This window comes from Homo sapiens, chromosome 21 (assembly GCF_000001405.40).
Source record: "Homo sapiens chromosome 21, GRCh38.p14 Primary Assembly".
In the NCBI taxonomy this organism is placed as follows: Eukaryota; Metazoa; Chordata; class Mammalia; order Primates; family Hominidae; genus Homo; species Homo sapiens.
This window is the reverse complement of record NC_000021.9, coordinates 10,401,468-10,424,054: the sequence shown is the minus strand read 5'-3', so window position 1 is coordinate 10,424,054 and position 22,587 is coordinate 10,401,468. Positions and strand designations below refer to the sequence as shown.

Genomic DNA, 22,587 nt, shown 5'->3' with positions numbered 1-22,587 from the left:
TGAAAAGATGTATAACATATACTAGTATGCCAAAAAAAAGTAAGGCACAAAACAGTATTTATAGTATAATTCCATTTGTTTTTTTGTTGTTGTTGTTTTTTTTGAGACGGAGTCTCGTTCTGTGGCCCAGGCTGGAGTGCAGTGGTGCCATCTCGGCTCGCTGCAAGCTCTGCCTCCCGGGTTCATGCCATTCTCCTGCCTCAGCCTCCCAAGTAGCTGGGACTACAGGCGCCCACCACCATGCCCGGCTAATTTTTTGTATTTTTTAGTAGAGATGGGGTTTCACCGTGTTAGCCAGGATGGTCTCGATCTCCTGATCTCACGATCCACCCGCCTCGGCCTCCCAAAGTGCTGGGATTACAGGTGTGAGCCACCATGCCCGGCCTAATTTCATTTGTTTTCAAAGAACATATATGCCTATGTCTGTATTTTTTTTCTACGTACAAACATGTCTTATCTACAAACCAAAAACATCTGGAAAAATATACAAAAAAAGTTTCCAGTGATAACCTCTGGGGAGTAAAACTGAACTTGTGATGTATACCTTTTGTTAGAATTTGAATTTATGAAAGGCACATATACCTTTAGAATAAAAAATACTTTAAAATAAAGCTCTATCATTTACAGTAATGCAAAGCGATCCAACTCTCAAACTCCCACATAATCATGTTATGTAGTGAAGCTTTCTAGGCTGGGGGAAGAAATGTAACCCCTTATAATGAATATATAAATATATATATAATTTCATCAATTTCATTATGGGTATACATTTATACATCTATTTACAAGTCTGTTTAAATACACATATCCACACCTGCTAAATAAGTATGTTCTGGCCAGGCGCTGTGGATCACGCCTGTAATCCCAACACTTTGGAAGGCCAAGGTGGGTGGATCACCTGAGGTCAGGAGTTCAAGACCAGCCTGGTCGACATGGTGAAACCCTGTCTCTACTAAAAATACAAAAATTAGCCGGGCATGGTGGTGTGTGCCAGTAGTCCCAGCTACTCGGGAGGCTGAGGCAGGAGAATCGCTTGAACCCGGGAGGCCGAGGTTGCAGTCAGCCGAGATTGTGTCACCGCACTCCAGCCTGGGCGACAGAGCGAGACTCTGTCTCAAAAAAACAGAAACAAACGAAAAAAGTATCTAATCAGGAGATTTTGGTAAGTTTTCCAAGCACACCCCTTCTTGTGAAACTGAGTTCTAACCTGAAGAATACCTGGGATTACATGGCGAAAAAACACAATATATTAAAATTTTAAAACAGTTCTTATTTTAGGCTCAAATTTTATGTTTTTGGGACTACTTAGACTTTTTTTTTTTTTCCCTGAGATGAAGTTTTGCTCCTGTTGCTCAGGCTGTAATGCGATGGCGTGAGCTGGGTTACTGCAATCTCTGCCTCCCGGGTTCAAGCGATTCTCCTGCCTCAGCCTCCCAAGTAGCTGGGATTGCAGACATGCACCACCATGCACAGCTAATTTTGTATTTTTAGTAGACACAGGGTTTCTCCGTGTTGGTCATACTGGTCTGAAACTCCCAACCTCAGGTTATCCGCCTACCTCGGACTCCCAAAGTGCTGGGATTACAGGCATGAGCCACCACGCCCAAACAACTTTTTGTATTTTTAGTAGAGACGGGGTTTCACTGTGTTAGCCAGGATAGTCTCGATATCCTGGCCTCGTGATCTGCCCACCTCAGCCTCCCAAAGTGCTGGGATTATAGGCATGAGCCACTGCGCCCGGCCAAGTGTCACTCTTAATTTTTTAAAATTAAAAGAAATTAAATTTCTCAATTCTGGAGGCTGGAAGTCCCAGCTACTCGGGAGGCCAAGGTAGGAGAATCACTTGAACCTGGGAGGCCGAGGCTGCAGTGAGCCGAGATCGTGCAGCCTGGTGACAGAGTGAGACTGCATCTCAAAAAAAAAAAAAAATAGTGTCACTTATGTCACTCAGTTTGTGGTATTTTGTTACGGTAACTCTAGCAAACTAATAGGAGAGGACTCTGGTTTACACTATTTAAATTTTCTAATTATTTACTTTTTTTTTTTAAATGCCTGGTGGAGTGCAGTGGCACAATCACAGCTTACTGCAGCCTCGAACTCTTGGCCTCAAGCAATCCTCCCAAGTAGCTGGGACTACAGGCATGCACCACCATACCTGGCTAATTTTTATTTTTTGTAGACATGATGTTTCACTATATTACTCAAGCTGGTCTTAAACTCTTAAACTCAAGTGATCCTCCAGCCTTGGACTCCCAAAGTGCTGGGATTACAGGTGTGAGCCACCATGCTCAGCCTACATGAACTTTTTTTAAACTAGCAGGGGTTATGTGAATAGTGGGATTACAGATATTTTCTTCATTATGCTGGTCCATATTTAAATCCTCTCCCCCTCACAAAAAAGGTAAAAATATACAGCCATAAAAAAGAATGGAATCATGTCCTTCGCAGCAACATGGATGGAGCTGGAGGCTACATTCTTTTTCATCCTTTGTCCTAAAAGAAGTAACTCAGAACCAGAAAATCAAATACCACATGGTCTCATTTCTAAGTGGGAGCTAAACAATGAGTACATGTGAACATAAAGATGGAAGTAATAGACTAGAGATTCCAAAAGAGAAGGTAGAAGAGGAGGTACACAGGTTGAAAACTACCTATTGGGTACTAGGATCACTTTGGATGATGGCTGCGCTAGCAGGCCAAACCTCGGCATTACATAATCTAGCCATGTAACGAACCTGCATGTGTACCCCCGAATCTAAAATAAAATATTTTTTAAAAAAATGGTAAAGAGAAAAAGTATTAAATGACATAACTAAATATTCTAGACATCATTCTACCATTTGTTGTCCAAGAAAAACCGCATTTTACCTTACAGTTTATCATTTGAAATAAAATATTATGTTAAGATATTTTAAATTTTTACCAGTTCCACAAAGGAACTGGGAAGTAGAAACTGAAGAACACTTTGTTAAGTCCTTGGGGATTAAAGAAGTAATAGCTACGAAGTATACAACAGTGTGATGAGTGAATCCTTCTCATATTGGGGTTAAAATGGTCATTATAGCTACTGCGTACCACAAATCCAATCAAGTTAGGTATTTTGTACACATTATCATTTAATTCTCATTACAACCCATCACAATAGATGTTAATTAGTATGTCCCCTATTTTTCGGATAAGGAAATTCAAGATCAAAGAGATTAAATGGCCAAGGTCATACAACTAAGAAGTGAAAGTGCTGAGACTCAAACCTAAGTTCATGTCTTAAATCCCATGCTGTTTGATATTAAGGACCACTTGTGTTTAACAAATATTAAACACCTGCTACACACACACACTGTGCCAGATGTATAAGATAGAGCCATGACCCAAGAAACACAGTCACTATTCTCAAAAAACTTAGAATCTCTGCCAGGAGCAGCGGCTCACGCCTGTAATCCCAGCACTTTGGGAGGCTGAGGCAGATGGATCACGAGGTCAGGAGTTCAAGACCAGCCTGGCTAAGATGGTGAAACCCCATCTCTACTAAAACTACAAAAATTAGCCAGGCGTGGTGGCAGGCGCCTGTAATCCCAGCTACTTGGGAGGCTGAGGCAGAGAACTGCTTGAACCAGGGAGGCGGAGGCTGCAGTGAGCCAAGATCGCACCACTGCACTCCAGCCTGGGCGACAGAGTGAGATTGTCTCCAAAAAAAAAAAAAAAAAAGCCTTAGAATCTCGTCTTTAACATTCTGTTGCATGTATGTTTTTCCTAGGTTTTTTGTTGTTGTTTGTTTTTTGTTTGCTTTTTGTTTTTGAGACAGAGTCTCGCTCTGTCACCCAGGCTGAAGTGCACTGACTGGTGCCATCTCAGCTCACTGCAACCTCCGCCTCCGGGTGCAAGCCATTCTCCCGCCTCAGCCTCCCGAGTAGCTGAGATTATGGTGCCTGCCACCACGCCTAGCTAATTTTTGTATTTTTAGTAGAGACAGGGTTTTGCCATGTTGAACAGGCTGGTCTCGAACTCCTGACCTTAGGTAATCTGCCTGCCTCGGCCTCCCAAAGCAATGAGATTACAGACATGAGCCACCGCGTGCCCGGCCTTTTTTCTTTGACACAGAGTCTCTGGCACACAGGCTGGAGTGCAGTGGCACAGCTCACTGCAACCTCTGCCTCCCAGGTTCAAGCAATTCTCCTACCTCAGCCTCCTGAGTAGCTGGGATTACAGGCACACACCACCACACCGGGCTAATTTTTGTATTTTTAGTTGATAACGGGGTTTCACTATATTCACCAAGCTGGTCTCGGCCTCAGCCTCCCAAAGTGCTGGGATTACAGGCGTGAGCCACTATGTCCGTTCTTGTTTTTCCTGTCTTTGTAACTAGACTTTAAAGCTCCTCAAAAGAGCTGGAGTATAAATGAAAATACAAAGAGCTTTGAGTCTCAGATCTGGAAAAAGTCTAGCTTTATCATATACATACATAAATTTAAATGCTGGATTCCTCACCAGCAAAAGGGTCTTGGATTAAGTGGTATAAAGTAGTCCTGTGCTTATCCATAGGAAATACATTTCAACCCCATACCCCACCCCTGCCTGGCTCCCATAAATGCCTGAAACCACGGATGCTACAAAGCCCTATATACACTATGTTTTATATTTTTCTTTGCCTCCAATGAATTCCCTCTCTTGGCAATGCCTTATAAGTTACCATGCAAAAAAATATAAATGTATCTCATTTATCTGTTCTCCCCTACCCCCCACAACGCTATCTACCTCTCACAGGACTAAGCATTGGAAAGGCCTTAGTGCAGCCACCACCTAACCATAGAAATGATCCAAACTCACATACTACTACTTCTTTATTCTTCAGTAAAGTTCTCCAAACTAAAATGAAATATGTAGTTTGAAAATATGTAGTAAAAATACAGCTTTTTAAATATATCCTCTGTGCTATTTCATAGCCACTTCACAGTGACCCTACTTCTCCATTTATAACTCACCCAGTTAGTTATTAGTAAACAACTCTTAATCAAAATTAAAAATGAAGGGCTATGGAACTGTTCTCATATCCCATTAAGTGTCTTAAAGGCACTGTGCTCAGCATTCCACATGCATTATCTTATTGAAAGCGCAGTGTTTAATGAACTTGCCTAAAGCCACATCAGAACCACCAGAAAGCACAATTTCATTGTATTTTGTGTGAATGCCCTCCCCAGCACAAGAACGGAGCTGTACAATGAAGTGGTGTGGGTCACACAGCTAATTAAGTAATGGAGTTAAGGCTCAAAAACTTCAGTGTCTGATGAGAAAGCTCACACTCAAAACCTCCAAAAAACACTGCTTTGCATCACTGAAATTAAAGAATAAGAATACAATATAAATAGAATAAAATGAGAATTCCTTGTTATATAATAAGCCAGTTTATCAGCTTTCTTTGGCGAAGGAAGAAAGGGCAACATAGTGATATCTTGTCTCTAGTAGAAATTTAAACATTAGCCGGGTGTGGTGGTATGCACTTGTAGTCCCAGCTACTGTGGAGGCTGAGTAGAGGGAGGATCACTTGAGCCAGGGAGGCTGAGGCTGCAAGGAGCCATGATTGCATCACTGCACTCCAGCCTGGGTGACAGAGTGAGATCCTACCTCAAAAAATAAATAAATAAATAAATAAATAAATAAATAAATAAATAAATAAATATAAGAATAAAAATTGCCTCTGGCAAAACTGCACATATAGAGGCACAGTGTGTTTTTTTCCACCACCCCAATGCTACCTCTATAACTCACACATGATAGTTTTATAAAGATAACTACCTGGCATTCAGGTTAAAATCGCAACAGCACCCAGAATAGGAAAAACTATAAATTATGCATTGGACTCTGCAATCACCAGCCCCTACTTGTAAATTTCAATGGAGATTCACTTTATTTCAAAATTAGAAAACTGATCTCAGAGTTTAAAACCTCATTTACAGCTTCAAAATATTTAGAATCTAGAATTATATAACAAATACTTATTTTCTTAGCATGCAAAAATTATTTACAAATCATTTAAAAAGGATGATCAACTTAACAGAAAAATGGGCAATGACAAATAGACTATTAGTTACCTAACCAATAGCCACTCCCCACTCACAACCTGTTCCTTACAGAGTTCACCTCCCACTATCATGGCTGAAAGGAACATCCTTGCTCTCTCACCCTCACTTGTACCTAGGACATGGATGGATACCAGTCACGGTTGATGGGATTTAAGAAAAAAATCTGTTGGCCGAGCGCAGTGGCTCATGCCTGTAATCCCAACACTTTCGGAGGCTGAAGCAGGCAGATCACCTGCCTGTTCCAATACGGAGAAACCCTGTCTCTACTAAAAAAACAAAATTAGCCGGGCATGGTGGTGCACAACTGTAATCCCAGCTACTCGGGAGGTTGAGGCAGGAGAATCGCTTGAACCCGGGAGGCAGAGGATGCGGTGCAGTGAGCCGAGATCGTGCCATTGCACTCCAGCCTGGGCAACAAGAAGCAAAACTCCGTCTCAAAAAAAGAAAAAAAAAATCTGCTAAGGGCTTCCAGGAAAGGTTTTTAATTCCAAATAAAATAGATGTGCATGAACAAATATACTTCATCTTTACTGGTCATTGAACCTGGTGTGAACTACGAATCCTCTTTTTCTCACATGCCACATCCCTCAACAAATCTTTTGGGCTCTGCCTCAACATATGCAGAATTACTTCAACATTTCTCTGATGCCTATCATGCTTCAAATCATCTGTCACCCTGCTAATATTATCTTAACTAACATGCCTGCTTCTTCCTTGATCTCCTTCATTCTAGTCTCAACACAGCAGCCAGCATGAGAGTTTGAGAGTCTTGGTCAGATAAAGCCAGTCCTCCACTCAAAAGCCCCCAAAGGACTCTCATCTAATCCAGAGTAAAAGTCAAAAGATCTCACAATGGTCTACAAGGCCCTGCACAATCTGACTCCCCATGCTACTTCTCTTATGATGTTTTCTCCATAACTCAGCTCCTGCCACATTAGCCCTTTCAGTTCTATGAACATGCTAAGCACATTCCTGCCTTGGGGCTTTTGCACTCACTGTTCCCTGCATCAGCAATACTCTTTCCCCAAATGATTGCCTTTGCATTCTTATTTCCTTTAAGATTCTATTCAAACATCAGCTCACTGAGGCCTTCTCTGATGGCCCCACTTAAAATAATCCAACCCAGCCCTTCCCGTCCCTTCCATGGCTTTATTTTTTTCCATAAAACTTAACGTCTTCTGACAACCTATAAATTCTACCTATTTGTTTGACTGTCTTCTCCCTTATCCCCACTAAAATATCAGCTCCGTGAAGGAAGGCAATGAACTTTGTTTTGCTCACTGCTGTATTTCCTGTGCTTATAGAATATTGCCTAATACATTGTAGGTGCTAAATGATTATTTAAGTGAATTAATTTAGCAACTATCAACAACAAGCTGAGTATAAAACAGCAGGAAAATGAAAACCATCTAGGTCCGTGACAATTTAATTGAGCCATTGAATTACACCTGGACTTCTAGTCATGTGAGGTAAATTTTATTTATAGTTTAAGCCATTTTTAATTAAAATTTTTGTTATTTGAAGCTGCAAAGTACCCAAAATAGGGTACTGGTAGGCAGTTTGCAAAAAAAAATGTGACAAATATCATCAATTTAACTCAATCATAAGGCATGCAAATTAAAATAACCATGAAATAATGTCACTCAAGAAAAAATAAGTTTGGTACATGTATAATCCCACTTAATATGACTCACTACATTAGTAGCATTAAAAAAATTTTGAGGGTTTTTGTTTGTTGAGACAGGGTCTTGCTCTGTCGCACTGGCTGGAGTGCAGTGGCGCAACCATGGCTCACTGCAATCTCAACCTTTTGGGCTCAAGTAATCCTCCCATCTTGCCTCCCGAGTAGCTGGGACTATAGGCACGTGGCCGCACACCTGGCTTTTTTTTTCCTCCCCCCAGTTAGAGACAGTGTCTCACTATGCTGCCCAGCAGACTAGTCTCGAACTCCTGTGCTCAAGTGATCCTCCTGTCTTGGCCTCCCAAAGTACTGGAATTACAGGCATGAGCCACAGTGCCTAACCATTTTTAAGTTTTGTTTTGTTTTGTTTTGTTTTTGAGACAGAGTCTCCCTCTGTCACCCAGGCTGGAGTGCAATGGCACCATCTCTGCTCACTGCAACCTCCACCTCCCGGGTTCAAGCAATTCTCCCTGCCTCAGTCTCCCAAGTAGCTGGGATAACAGGCATACGCCACCACGAATTTTTGTATTTTTAGTAGAGATGGGGTTTCACCATGTTGGCCAGACTGGTCTCGGCCTCCCGACCTCAGGTGATCAGCCCGCCTCAGCCTCCCAAAGTGCCAGGATTACAGGTGTGAGCCACCACGTCCAGCCCATTAACTTTCAAGTATTAAAATAAAGTCATACAGGCCAGGTGCAGTGGCTCACACCTGTAATCCCAGCACTTTGAGAGGCCAAGGCAAGTGGATCAGTTGAGGTCAGGAGTTAAAGACCAGCCTGGCCAACATGGAGAAGCCCCATATCTACTAAAAATACAAAAATTTGCCAAGCATGGTGGTAGGCGCGTGTAGTCCCAGCTACTTGGAAGGCTGAGGTAGGAGAATAGCTTGAACCTAGGAAGCGGAGGTTGCAGTGAACCAAGATCGCACCACTGCACTCAAGCCTGGGCAACAGAGCAAGACTGTCTCAAAAAAATAAATAAAGAAAGAAACAAAGCAGTAAGGAGTACAATACAGTGCATAACTGTTCTCAACCTTGACAATGTCAATGTTAGAAATGACAGATGTAAGCACATAAAGGGAAAAGGAAAGGTAAAAAGAAGAGTTGCAGCTGGGCATGGTGGCTCACACCTATAATCCCAGCACTCTGGGAGGCTGAGGCAGGTGGATCGCCTGAGGTTGGGAGTTCAAGACCAGCCTGACCAACACAGTAAAACCTCATCTCTACTAAAAATACAAAATTAGCCGGGCATGGTGGCGCCTGCCTGTAATCCTAGCTACTCGGGAGGCTGAGACAGAAGAATCACTTGAACCCAGGAGGCAGAGGTTCAAGCAAGCAGAGATTGCACCATTGCACTCCAGCCTGGGCAACAAGAACGAAACTCACAGAGCTGTGCCATCTTCAGGCTCCAACCTCCAGCTCACCACAGGGGACTCCTCCTTCATCAGCCTGGCTTGGAGCAGCTGGGCAGACAATGCCAGAAAAACCTACAATAGGATGCAGAAAGTGGCAGTGTTAGAGCCTCACCCTGTCATGCTGCCCACTGGGTGGCTGGGGCCAGTTTCAGCGAAGGCACTCACACCCACCCTCCAAAGTCCAGCCTCTCCTCCTAGACCAAGCTGGCCTCCTGACCTGGGGTGGGGACTGGAGACACCACAGTGTCCGAGGCTAGTTGGGGAGCAAGAACAGCAGAAACTCAGACCCAGCCAGTCCTCCCCACCCAAGTACCAGTTCCCATTCCTGACTCCTCCACCCACAGGACCCTGAGCCCCCATGGTGCCCACTACTCCATGCCTGGGGCTCCCAGATGGTCCCCACAACACAGAGCAAGAGGGCAAGGGCCGGGTAACCATGGTGGGTGTGAGGGCCCTGCGGTGGTCAGAGGATTGCCACAAAAACTCTGTGCACCCTCCGCGTTCCAACACGAGCAGAAGTTCCCCTTTCCTCCATGGACAATGCAACATTTCACAGCTCCCCTAAAGCACCCCCGACTGCCTGCCAGTTGGCATTGTTGCTGACATTGTAGCTCATGATAGCTCACCCAACCCGCCCCCTGCATCGGCCAGTGTAGCAGCTAATAATGCCCCTAATTCCCCACCACCTTCCGCTGGCAGTGCACGACGGCACACACAACCTGCCTCCAACCCCCCACCACCTTAGGCAGTGTAGACTCTGATAGCGCAGCAAACCTGCCCCACTGCCAGCAATTCAACACCTGATAGTGCCACCCACCAGCCCCCCACGGCAGGGAGTGCAGCTCCAAAAGCACACCAAACCCGCTCCCCCACCACCCCGCAAGCAGGCAGTGCAGCCGCAGAGAGCACACCTACCCTGCCACCTTTCTACTACTCTAACAGAGATGCAGTCTCCGTCACCACTACCAACCGTAGCCAGGCGAGCCGCGGTGGCCAAGGCTGCAGCCTCCAGCGTTGGGCACAGTCCCCACCTTCTCCTAGATCTCTAGCCGGTCAAGAGCAGCTCCAGCTGCCAGCCACCCTCCTACCACTCAGGCTGTACTCCTACCACTCCAGCCGCCATCTTACCACTCCAGCCGCCATCTTACTGCTCCGGCCGCCATCTTACTGCTCCAGCCCCACTCCTACCGCTCAGGCCGCCCTCCTAACACTCCAGCTGCGCTGCCATCTCTGTTGCCACCACCATCCAGAGCGAGACGAGCCACGGTGTTACAGGCTCCAGCCTCCAACTCCCCCTTCTCCTGGTCCTCTAAGCCGGGAACAGAGCAGCTCAGCGGGAGATACCAGAGACCCTAAACTGGCGTGAGGCCTGCTCGGCATGCACATGGGGTTACGCGCATGGTTTCTGGACTACATGTTCTGATTGGGTGAGAGAAAATCTCTAGGCCTTCTCTGATTGGACTTTATTTTCATACTCTAATTGGTTGTCCTAAGACTTTCATCCAATCAGAACATGATAACAAAGTCCAATCAGAGTAGGCCTCCGGGCTTTCTCTTATCCAATCCTGGAAAGTGTAGTCCACGAACCGCATATGCATAACTTCAGTACATAAATGGGGCTGAAGAAGAGTCAGGCTGTTCCAGGTTCTTCTGTGTCTGCTCACCGAGCTGCTCCGAGCCCGGCTTAGAGGACCAGGACAGACTGGAGGCTGTAGCCTGCTGCACCGTGGCTGGCCTCCCTGCAGTTGGTGGCGACAGACACTGTAGTGTGGCTGGAAAGGTAGGAAGGGGAAAATAGTTTTGGGATAGATGGAAGGGTAAAGAGGGTGGTTAGTGCCAAAAGGAAAAAAGGATGGCGAGCCGGAGAAGTCATTGCATAAAGACGGTGAGGAAAAGATGTTGGGAAAAAAAATTGGGGGGTAGATGGAGGGGGAAAAACAGGGTGGTAAACAGGAGGGAGAGAAGGTTTCACAGAAAGATGGTGGGGAAAAAGTTTTTGGGTAGATGGAAGGGGGTAAGAGAGGGTCGTGAGGGGGGAACGGGGATGAGCAGGAAGGAGAGAAGGTTTGCAAAAATATGGTGGGGAGAGAAGAAAGGGAAAGAAGACTGTGGGTAAAAAGATTTTGAGTGATGGAGGGGGGAAAAGGGTGACAAGTGGGAGGAGAAAAGAGGGTGCAGAGAGGGAGGGGGAAGAGAGAGTGGCGAGCAGGAGGGAGAGAAGGTTTTGTGAAAAGACAGTGAGGAGAGAAGCTTTTGGGTAGATGGAGGGGGGAAAGAGGGTGGCCAGTGGGAGAAGGGTAAAGAGAGTGGCGAGCCGGAAAGAGAAAAGGTTTTGCTAAAAGACGATAGGCAGAAAAGAAAGTGTAGAAAGAAAAGACAGTGGCTAAAAAGTGTTTGGGTAGACGGAGGGGGAAAAGAGGGTGGCAAGTGGGAGGAGAATAGAAAGTGTGGCCAGAGGAAGTGGGGAAAGAGGACTGGGAAAAAGGCGATGGGGAAAATAGTTTGGGGTAGATGGAGGGCAAAAAGAGGGTGGCAAGCAGGATAGAGGAAAGAAGAGGGCGAGCGGGAAGAGGGGAAGGCTTTGTGAAAAGATGGCAGGGAAAAATTGGGGAGGTAGATGGGTTAAAAGAGCGTGGTGAGCAGGAGTAGAGAAGAGGCTTTGCAAAAAGACGGCAGGAAAATGTTTTTGGGTAGATGGAGAAGGGAAAGGGTGGCAAGGAGGAAGGGAAAAAAGACGATAGGGAAACAGTTTTTGGGTAGACGGAAGGGGAAAGAGAGGGTGGCGAGCAGCAGGAGTGGGGAGAAGGCTTTGGGAAAAGATGAGGGAAATGTTTTTGGGGAGATGAAGGAGCAAAAGAGGATGATGAGAGCGGGAGGCGGAAAAAAGGGTGGCCAGAGAGAGGGAGAAAACACGGTGGGGACAAGTTTTGGGGTAGATGGGTGGGGAAAACGGAAGTGAGCGGTATAGTATAGAAGGCTTTGCAAAAAGACAATGGGGAAAAAATGGTGGGGAAAAAGTTTTGGGGTAGATGGAGGAAGAAAAAGGGTGGCGAGAGAGGGAGCCAAAGACGGTCGGGAAAAAAATTCCTCCTGTTACTGATTTTTTAATACTCTTCCATTCCGGTCAGAAAAAATAATTGATATGATTTCAGGGTTTTTTTTGTTTTGGTTTAGTTTGGTTTGGTTTTTTGAGATGGAGTCTCGCTCCGTTGCCCAGGCTGGAGTGCAGTGGTGTGATCTTGGCTCACTGCCACCTCCACCTCCCGGGTTCAAGCCATTCTTTTGCCTCAGCCTTCTGAGTAGTTGGGATTACAGGCATGCGCCACGACGCCCAGCTAATTTTGCATTTTTAGTTCTAAATGGGGTTTCTCCATGTTGGTCAGGCTGGTCCCGACCTCTGTTGATTGCCCCACCTCTGCCTTCCAAAGTGCTGGGATTACAGGTGTGAGCCACTGCACCTGGCAAGGATGATGAATTTTATTGAATGTTTTTATCTGCATCTATTGAGATAATCATATGATTTTTGTTTTAAATTTTGTTTATGTGGTAAATCACATTTATTGATTTGCATATGTTAAATAGTCCTTGCATCTCAGGAATAAAACCTATGTAATGATGATGAATTACATTTTTGATATGCTGATGGATTTGGTTTGCTAGCATTTTGTTGAGGATATTTGCATCTATGTTCATCAGATATTGGCCTGTAGTTTGTTGTTGTTGTTTCCTTGCTAGATTTTAGTGTCAGGATGATACTGGTTTTGTAGAATGAGTTAGAGAGGAATTCCTTGATTGATACCATCTATTTTTTTTATGTTTGGTAGAATTCAGCTGTGAATTCATCTAGTCCTGGGCTTCTCCTGCTTGATAAATATTTTTAATACAAATTCAGTTTCATAATTAACTACTGGTCTGTTCAGATTTTTTTAAATTTATAGAGAAAAAATATTTATTTGGTTTATAGTTGTGCAGGCAGTAGAAGCATGGGACCAGCACCTGCTCAGGTTTGGGTGAGACCTCAGAAAGCATCCAATCACAGAGGAAGGCAAAGGGAGGGCCAGGGTATCACGTGTCAAGAGAGAAATCAAGAGCAAGAAGGGGAACATGGCAGGGTGTTTTAAACAACCAGCTCTCGTGCGACACAACAGAGCAAGGACTCGCTGATCGCCAAGGGGATGGAGCTAAGCAATTTATGAAGGGTCCACTCCCATGATTCAACACCTTCCACTAGGCCCACCACCAACATTTAAGATCACATTCAACAGGAGATTTGGAGGGTAAACACATCCAAACAATGTCATTTCACCCCTATGGCCCCCAAATCTCATGTCCTTCTCATATTGCACAATACAATGTCATTTCATCCCTATGGCTCCCAAATCTCATGTCCTTCTCATATTGCACAATACAATTATCCTCTCCCAGTAGTCCCCAAAAATCTCAAGCTGTTTCAGCATCAACTCAAAAGTCCAAAATCTCATCTGAGCTTCAAGGTACATTCCTCCATCTATGAGCCTATGAGATCAAAACCAACTTATTTGCTTCCAATATTCAATGCAGTACAGGTGTTGGGTAAATATTCCCATTCCCAAATGGAGAAGTTGGGCAAAAGAAAGGGGCAACAGGCCTCAGGCAAATCTGAAACCCAGTAGGGCAGACATTAAACCTTCAAGCTCCAAAATAATTCTTGATTTCATGTCCCGCATCCAGGGCACACTTGTGCAAGGGGTGGGTTCCCAAGACCTTATGCAGCTCTGCCTCTGTGGCTTTGCAGTGTACAGTCACCATGGCTGCTGTCTTGGATCAGAGTTGCGTGCCTGTGGTATTTCTAGGCTCAGGATGAAAGCTTCCCATGGCTCTACCATTCAGGGATCTCGAGGTGGCAGCCCCATTCCCACAGCTCCAGTATGTAGTGCCCCAGTGGGGACTCTGGAGGCTTCAATCCCACATTTCCTGTTGGCACTGGCCCTAGTGGACTTTTGGTTTCTTTCTGATTCAGTCTTGGAAGGTGGTGTGTTTGCAGGAATGTATCCATTTTCTCTAGGTTTTCTAGTTTCTGCACACAAAGATATTCTGAGGATCTTTTTTTATGTCGGTGGTATCCTTTGCAATGTCTCATTTGTCATTTTTGATTGTGCTTATTTGAATCTTCTTTTTTCTTGCATAATCTAACTAGCAATCTATCATTTGTATGTGTCCTTGCAAAGAACCAACTTTTTAATTTTGCTGATTCCTTGTATGGCTTTTTTGGTCCTGATTTCATTACCTTATTCTCTAACCTTTGTTATTTCCTTCTACTAGCTTTGGGTTTGGTTTGTTCTTTTCTAGTGTGTTTGGCTATTTTAGCTTGTTAATTTGAGGTCTTTCTCTCTTTTTATGTAGGCATTTAGTGTTATAAACTCTCCTCTTAACATTGTTTTTTCTGTATCACAGACGTTTTGGTATGTTATGTTTCTATTTTCATTTGTTTCAGGAATTTCTTTAAATTTCTGCCTTAGTTCTGTTATTTACACAAAAGTCATTCACGAGCAGATTGTTTAGTTTCCATGTACCTCTGTGGTTCTGCGAGTTCTCGATATTGACTTCTAATTTTATTCCACAGTGGTCTGAGAAGATACTTAATATAGTTGTGATTTTTAAAAAATTATTGAGGCTTATTTTATGACTGAGCATGTGGTCAATTTTAGAGAATGTTCCATGTGCAAATGAGAAAAATGTACGTTCTATGGTTTCTGGGTGGAGTATTCTGTAGATATCTATTAGGTCTGTTTGGTCAAGAGCCCAATTTGAGTCCACAGTTTCATTGTTAGTTTTCTGCCTAATAATCTGCCTAACTAATCTCCTTACTGCTGTCGGTGGGGTGTTGAAGTCCTCCACGATTATTGTACAGCTGTGTATCTCTTTTCTTAGGTCTAGTAATATTTATTCTAAAAATCTGGGTGCTCCAATGTTGGCTGCATATATATTTAAGACAGTTAAGTCTTCTTGTTGAATTGAACACTTCATCATTATATAATGTCATTCTTTGTATTTTTTTTACTGTTGTTAGTTTAATGTCTGTTTTATCTGATACAAGAATAGCAATACCTCTCCTTTTTTGTTTTTCATTTATGTGATGAATCTTTTTCCATCCATTTACTTTGAGCCTGTTGGTATCATTACACATGAGATGGGTCTCTCAAAGGCAGCAGAAGTGTCTTGTTTTTTTATCCAGTTTGCCACTCTGTGTCTTTTAAGTGGAGCATTTCAGCCATTTACATTCAAGCTTAATATTGATGTGTTAGGTTTTCTTCCTTTTATAGCATTAGCTAGTTACCTTGTAGTCTCAATTGTTTAATTGCTTTATAGGTTCTGTACATTTTGTATTCATGGATGCTTTTATGGTAGCAAGTATCATTCTTTTATTTTCACGAGTCAAACTCCTTTAAACATTTCTTTTAGAGTCAGTCTGGAGGTAATGACTTCCCTTAGCATTTTCTTGTCTGGAAATATCTTATTTTCCTTTCTTTATGAAGCTCAATCTGGCAGGTTATGAACTTCTTGCATGACTGGGTGCAGTGGCTCATGCCTGTAATCCTAGCACTTTGGGAGGCTGAGGCAGGCAGATCACCTGAGGTCAGGGGTTCAAGACCAGCCTGGCCAACATGAAGAAACTCCATCTCTATTAAAAAATACCAAAATTTGCCAGGTGTGGTGGCGGGCACCTGTAATCCCAGCTACTGGGGAGGCTGAGGCAGGAGAATTGCTTGAACCCAGGAAGCAGAGGTTGCAGTGAGCTGAGATCACACCACTGCACTCCAGCCTGGGTGGCAAAGTGAGCCTCTGTCTCCAAAAAAAAGAAATTATTGGATGGCATTTTTTTTTCTTTATGAAGGCTAACGCTAGACCCCAATCTTTTCTAGGTTGCAGTGTTTCTGCTGATAAGTCTGTTGTTAATCTAATTTAATTTATAGGTAATTTGGCCCTTTGTTTGGGCTGCCTTTAATATATTTTCTTGTGCATTGACCACGGCTATTCTAATGACTGTGGATGCCTTAGGAATGGGCATCTTATTTACTATCCCACAGGTGTTCTCTGAATTTCTTATATCTGAATGTCAACCTTTCTAGCAAGACTAGAGAACTTTTCCTAAATTATTCCCCTAAATATACTTTCCTAGTTGGTTACTTTTTATTCTTCTGTTGTAGGAATGCCAATAAGTTATAAGTTTGGTCACTTTACATAATCCCACATTTCTTAAGGGCTTTGTTTTTCAGTTCTTTTTTCTTTTATTTTTGTCTGGGTTACTTTGCAAGACCAGTTTTCAAAGTCTAAAATTATTTCTTCTGCTTAGTCTAGTTTATTGTTAAAGATTCCAACTGTGTTTTGAAATTCCATTAGTGGATGTTTTAATTCCAGAAGCTCTATTTGTTTTTTTCTTAATCCAGCTATTTATTTTTCCATATTTCAAATTGTACTTAATGATTGTTTTGCACATAAAATTAATGTATACATGATTAATGCTTTAAAGGAACTAAGCACCCACCAGACTCAAGAAAAAATGATGCCCTATGATACATCTGAAAAAAATTTAATCTTTCTATTAAATACAGTTACACAAATTAAGATAATATGTATTTTTGTCTAGCAAAATAAAATATAGGTATCAGTTTTGGTGAAGCGAAAGCATAATGGACATTAATTTGCCGATTGGTGCTGAAAGTATAAATTGATTCAACATTTTGCAGGGATGTTAGTCAATATGTGTGAAAATTATACACTAATATCTCTTTACACAGTAATTAAAGTGCTAGGACTTTTTGAAAAGAAAACATGTCTCAATGTGCCCAAATTTGTTTCTGTGAAAATGTTTATAAAAAATGTTGTTCATTGAAAGCAATACAGTATTTAACCATAGAGAGAGTAGGCCTGTAAATCATGGAACTTATTCAATGGGGGATGTCTGAAGAGGGTCTAAAAATAATCTATATGTTTAAATAAATAAATTAAAAGAAATTTATTTTAAAATCCTACATTTAATTATATTAAAAATTATCAATTTAGGTGATAGGATTATTGGTAAATTTGAATTTTTTAGCATTTTTGTTTATGTGCCAATTTTTCTATTACTGTCTTTTACTCCTTTTGTAGATAAAATATACTGTTTTAACATAAAATAAATGTCATTCATAATTCTTATACAGTAAGAACATTTTTTTGAGACAGACTCTTGCTCTGTCACCCAGGCGGGAGTGCAATCATAGCTCACTGCAGCCTCAACCTCCCAGGATCAAGCTATACTCCCACTTCAACCTCCCAAGTGTCTGGGACCATGGCTGTGCACCACCATACCTGGCTAACTTTTAAAGAAAGATTATTGTAGAGCCAGTGTCTCACTGTGTTGCCCAGGCCAGTCTCAAACTCCTGGGTTCAAACAGTCCTCCTCCCTCAGCCTCCACAAAGTGTTGGGATTACAGGCGTAAGCCAATGCACACAGGCAGAGCTTTTTTAAAAAAAACTATGCAATATATTTGGTCTTCAAAAAATGTTTTTGTTTGAAGAGCAAGGTACTCATGCAGGAAAATAATCCAATTTATGGTGCAGTTTAATTTAAAATGAAATCACTTGGCATTATTAAAAAATAAAATTTTGCCCAGGCGCAGTGGCTTACTCCTGTAATCCCAGCCTTTTGGGAGGCCAAGGCAGGTGGATCACCTGAGGTCAGGAGTTTGCGACCAGCCTAACATGATGAAACCCTGTCTCTACTAAATATATATACACACACACACACACACACACACACACACACACACACAAAATAGCCGGGTGTGGTGGCGCATGCCTGTAATCCGAGCTACTTAGGAGGCTGAGACAGGAGAATCACTTGTACCCGGCAGACGGAGGTTGCAGTGAGCCGAGATCGCGCCATTGCACTCCAGCCTGGGCAACAAGAGTGAAACTCTGTTTAAAAAAAAAATAAAATTAAAATAAATAAAATTTTGAGTGTCCATTTGTTACCGAGAAAATAATTTTAAAAAACATTATCCTAATGCAATCTACAATTGTGTAGAATCATTGTAGAATATACCACAGCATACTGTTGAGTTTTATTTGCTATTAAGATTAAGTGGGGCTGCACGGCCAGACAGGCCCTGCTCCTGAGGCCGGGCAGGCTGCGCGCCTGCGATCCTGCGCCTGTGGTCCTGGGGCAGCCCGGACCAGCTCAGGAGAACCCGCGAGCCCAGCGGCGACTGCCCCGGGCTGGAGCCCCACCTGCCGGCGCGCCGCCTGGGAGCGGCTTCTGGGAGCCGGGCGGCCCCCGCCGTGCAAGGGCGCTGCTAATGCCCTTGCGAGGCTCAGTGGATCTAAGAGGTCGGAAGCTGGGAGTGTCGCTGCTGAAGGCTGTGGTGGACCCGGCTGGATCGCGGATTCTGGGCTAGATCGCAGATTTGGGATCGCGGATGGGGGATTGGATCGCGGATTGGGGGTTGGAGCGGGGATTTGGGCCTGGATTGGGGATTTGGGGCTAGGTGGGGGGCGGTGAAAAGGTGACACGGAGTTGCCGCGGCTCAGGAGCCGGTGGTTGGGAGTCTGAGAAGATTGCAGGCGCCCGCCACCACGCCCAGCTAATTTTTGTATTTTTAGTAGACACGGGGTTTCACTGTGTTGGCCAGGCTGGTCTCAAACTCCTGACCTCGTGATCTTCCCGCCTCAGCCTCCCAAAGTGCTGGGATTACAGGCATGAGCCACCGCACCCGGCCTTATCACTATTATTATGGTTTTTTTTGGGTTTTTTTGTTGTTGTTTGTTTTCTTTGTTTTTTGTTGTTGTTGTTGTTGTTGTTGTTGTTTTTTGAGACGGAGTCTCGCTCTGTCCCCAGGCTGGAGTACAGTGGCGTGATCTCGGCTCACTGCAAGCTCTGCCTCCCCGGTTCACGCCATTCTCCTGCCTCAGCCTCCTGAGTAGCTGGGACTACAGGCACCCACCACCACGCCCGGCTAATTTTTTGTATTTTTAGTAGAAACGGGGTTTCACCATGTTAACCAGGATGGTCTCGATCTTGTGATCCATCCGCCTCGGCCTCCCAAAGTGCTGGGATTACAGGCATGTGCCACCACACCCGGCCGAGCCCAGGAGTTTGAAACCATCCTGGGCAACATGGCAAAACCCCATCTCTACAAAAAATACAAAAAAATTAGCCGGGCATGGTGGCACATGCCTGTAGTTCTAGCTACTTGGGAGGCTGAAGTGGTTCTGCCTGGGAGGATCACCTGAGCCTGGGAGGTTGAGGCTGCACTGAGCTGTGATTGTGCCACCGTGCTCCAGCCTAGGTGATGGAGTAAGACCCTGTCTCAAGAAAAAAAAAAATCAGAACAGTTTCTCCCAGGAAGGTATACAAATGGCCAATTAGCACATGAAAAGATACTCAACCTCATTAGCCGTCAGAAAAAATGCAAATCAAAACCAAAATAAGATACCACTTCAGGGGAGCAGTGGTTCACACTTGTAATCCCAGCAGTTTGGGAGGCCAAGGCAGGCCAATTGCCTGAGGCCAGGAGTTCAAGACCAACCTGGGCAACATGGTGAGACTCTGTGGCTGCAAAAAAATAAAAAATTAGCAGCTGGGCAAGGTGGCTCATGCCTGTAATCCCAACACTTTGGGAGGCTGAGGCGGGTGGAGCACGAGGTCAGGAGTTCAAGACCAGCCTGGCCAACATAGTGAAACCCTGTCTCTACTAAAAATACAAAAGTTAGCCGCATGTGGTAGCACATGCCTATAATCCCAACTACTCAGGAGGCTGAGGCGGGAGAATCACTTGAACCCAGAAGGCAGAAGTTGCAGTGAGCTGAGACCACACCATTGCCCTCCAGCCTGGGTGACAGAGTGAGACTCTGTGTGAAAAAATAAAATAAAATAAAATAAAATAAAATAAAATAAAGTAAAACAAAATAAATAAAAATTAGTAGGGTGTGGTGGCATGCACCTGTAATCCCAGCTACTTGGGAGGCTGAGGTGTGAGGATCACCCCAGGAGGTCAAGGCTGCAGTGAGCTGTGATCATACCACTGCACTCCAGCCTGGACGAGAGAGCGATAACCTGTCTCAAAAAAAAAGAGCTATCAGGCTGGGCGTGGTGGCTGGCGCCTGTATTCCCAGCACTTTGGGAATACAGTGCTGGGAGGTGGGTGGATCACCAGGTCAGGAGTTCAAGACCAGCCTGGCCAAGATGGTGAAACCCCGTCTCTACTAAAAATACAAAAATTAGCCGGGCATGGTGGCAGGTGCCTGTAATCCCGGCTAAGCCAGGAGAATCACTGGAACCCAGGAGGTGGAGGTTGCAGTGAATCGAGATTAGGCCATTGCACTCCAGCCTGGGCAACAGAGCAAGATTCTGTCTCAAAAAAAACAAAAATTTCTGATTTCATTTTAACCAGTACAAGATGCAGGAAGGGAAGCTGCCCAGTGACGTTCTTGCTATTCAGTCATGGCCTCAAGGCAGCATTATTCATAACCATGAGTAGCGTGGCCTTTCTGAACAGCTTCTGAAAAGCACGTTTGTTACTGCAGCTTGGCAGTTTACCTCCTTCTACGTTCAGGGCTCAAACCCCGTTTAACACACGCCCCCTACTGGGCCATTGAGAACTGCTAGTCTCTTCAGGTCCCCTTCCACGCAGTGTGCAGGCTCCCTGTGCGCAACTCCCCTCCTCCTGTCCCTAGGGCTCCGCCTGAGTTCACATTCTGGCCTGCACTGCCAGATCTCCCTCCAGCCTCTCACCAGCTCCGTCATCCTCTGATCTGCCCCAGAGGCACATCTCTAAGAACACTAATGCCATCACTCAAAAACATTTGGCTGGAAGCCAGGCACGGTGTTTCGGGCATGGTGGCTCATGCCTGTAATCCCAGCACTTTGGGAGGTGGAGGCTGGTGGATCACTTGAGGTCTGGAGTTCAAGACCAGCCTGGCCAACATGGTGAAACCCCATCTCTACTAAAAATAAAAAACTAGGCCGGGCACCATGGCTCACGCCTGTAATCCCAGCACTTTGGGAGGCCGACATGGGTGGATCACGAGGTCAGGAGATGGAGACCATCCTGGCTAACACAGTGAAACCCTGTCTCTACTAAAAATACAAAAAATTAGCTGGGCATGGTGGCAGATGCCTGTAGTCCCACATACTCGGGAGGCTGAGGCATGAGAATGGCATGAACCTGGGGAGGGGAGGGGAGATCAGGTGAGTTAAACTGGATTTGGGGGGGAATGTTGGCCAAGTGGCAGGCAGGGTGGGCCTGGGCCTGAGGGAAGCCATGGACCCCTAGACTTGTTCCTGCTGACAGAGTGCCAGTGGCTGGGCAGGAGCATGAGCAAGGTGGGTTTGCATCTGTCACTGGAGGAGCGCTCCGAATGCTTCTCAGGACAAAAGCAGGAGGCTGCCATTGTTCACAGGATGTGAGATCTAATATGGTTCAGGCTGGGGCAAATCAGTGAAGATCAAAATCCCTCATCTTCCACAATGAGGGACTAGAATCAAAGGTGGATGTGCTCCCGCCTGCTCACAAAGGGTCCTCACATGCCCCAGGGCCCTCCGCTGGGGCACAGTCCACATTAGGCGACACACAAACAGCCTGAGGGTGCCCAGTCACTGAGCAGCCCCAGACGCTGTGCCGTTACCGGCAGGCAGGGCCCTGCAGGAGACCTTCGCCTGCCCGGACCAGAGAGGCTGCAGGGGTGCTGTGGGGAGAGGGCCAGATGGCCGCAACACAGCTGGGAATGGCTCCAGAGGGGAGGGTGGAGAGTGCGCTGGCCCCTGGGAGGACTCAGAGAGGAGTTGCGTGTGTTTGGCGCTTGTGGACATGGTGTGTGGCAGTGTGAGCCAACAGGCCAACGGGCGGCAAGCATAGGAGGCTTTATGGATCCCCCTGAAGAACCACTGTGTGGAGGGGAAATGGCCCCCTGCGAGGAAAGTCCTAGCAGCCGGTGGAGCGCAACCAGATGCGGGCCCAGACTGATGGGGTCTCCATGGGAGCCCAGGTGGGAGGTGGAGGAGAAGGGAGACAGTGAGAAGGTTGTCACCAGGCCCTCACTAATACCCAGGGAGAAGCCCGTGTGCAAAGGAGGTGAAGGATAGTGGTTTGGTTTGGTTTGGTTTGGTTTGGTTTGGTTTGGTTTGGTTTGGTTTGAGATGGAGTCTTGCTCCATTGTCCAGGCTGGAGTACAGTGGTGCGATCTCGGCTCACTGCAACCTCCACCTCCTGGGTTCAAGTGATTCTTCTGCCTCAGCCTCCCAAGTAGGTGGGATTACAGGCATGAACCATCACACCCAGCTAATTTTTGTATTTTTAGTAGAGATGGGGTTTCACCATGTTGACCACGCTGGTCTCAAACTCCTGACCTCAGGTGATCCACCCACCTCAGCTTCCCAATGTGCTGGGACTACA

The 22,587-nt window shown here is 45.1% G+C and overlaps 1 pseudogene across 2 annotated transcripts in view, besides 1 other annotated feature; it reads right to left on the bottom strand.

The window, feature by feature from the left end:
- The window catches only part of BAGE2 (BAGE family member 2 (pseudogene)), a 104,778-nt pseudogene extending 94,220 nt beyond the window's left edge, over positions 1–10,558 (bottom strand). For both annotated transcript variants that reach the window (NR_169269.1, NR_169270.1), the window contains exons 1-2: positions 10,301–10,558; positions 9,144–9,244 (exon numbers count right to left, since the gene is read on the bottom strand). The product of NR_169269.1 is annotated as a BAGE family member 2 (pseudogene), transcript variant 1 (transcript). The remainder of the gene's footprint in view (positions 1–9,143; positions 9,245–10,300) is intronic.
- Positions 7,050–7,151: a silencer, noted in NCBI's record as "fragment chr21:11095452-11095553 (GRCh37/hg19 assembly coordinates)". NCBI's record gives its function as "represses an EF-1alpha promoter that drives an FKBP-Casp9 reporter gene in an ReSE screen in phorbol 12-myristate 13-acetate-treated (for megakaryocytic differentiation) K562 erythroleukemia cells {active_cell/tissue: K562(+PMA)}" and the evidence as "EXISTENCE:reporter gene assay evidence [ECO:0000049][PMID:32094911]".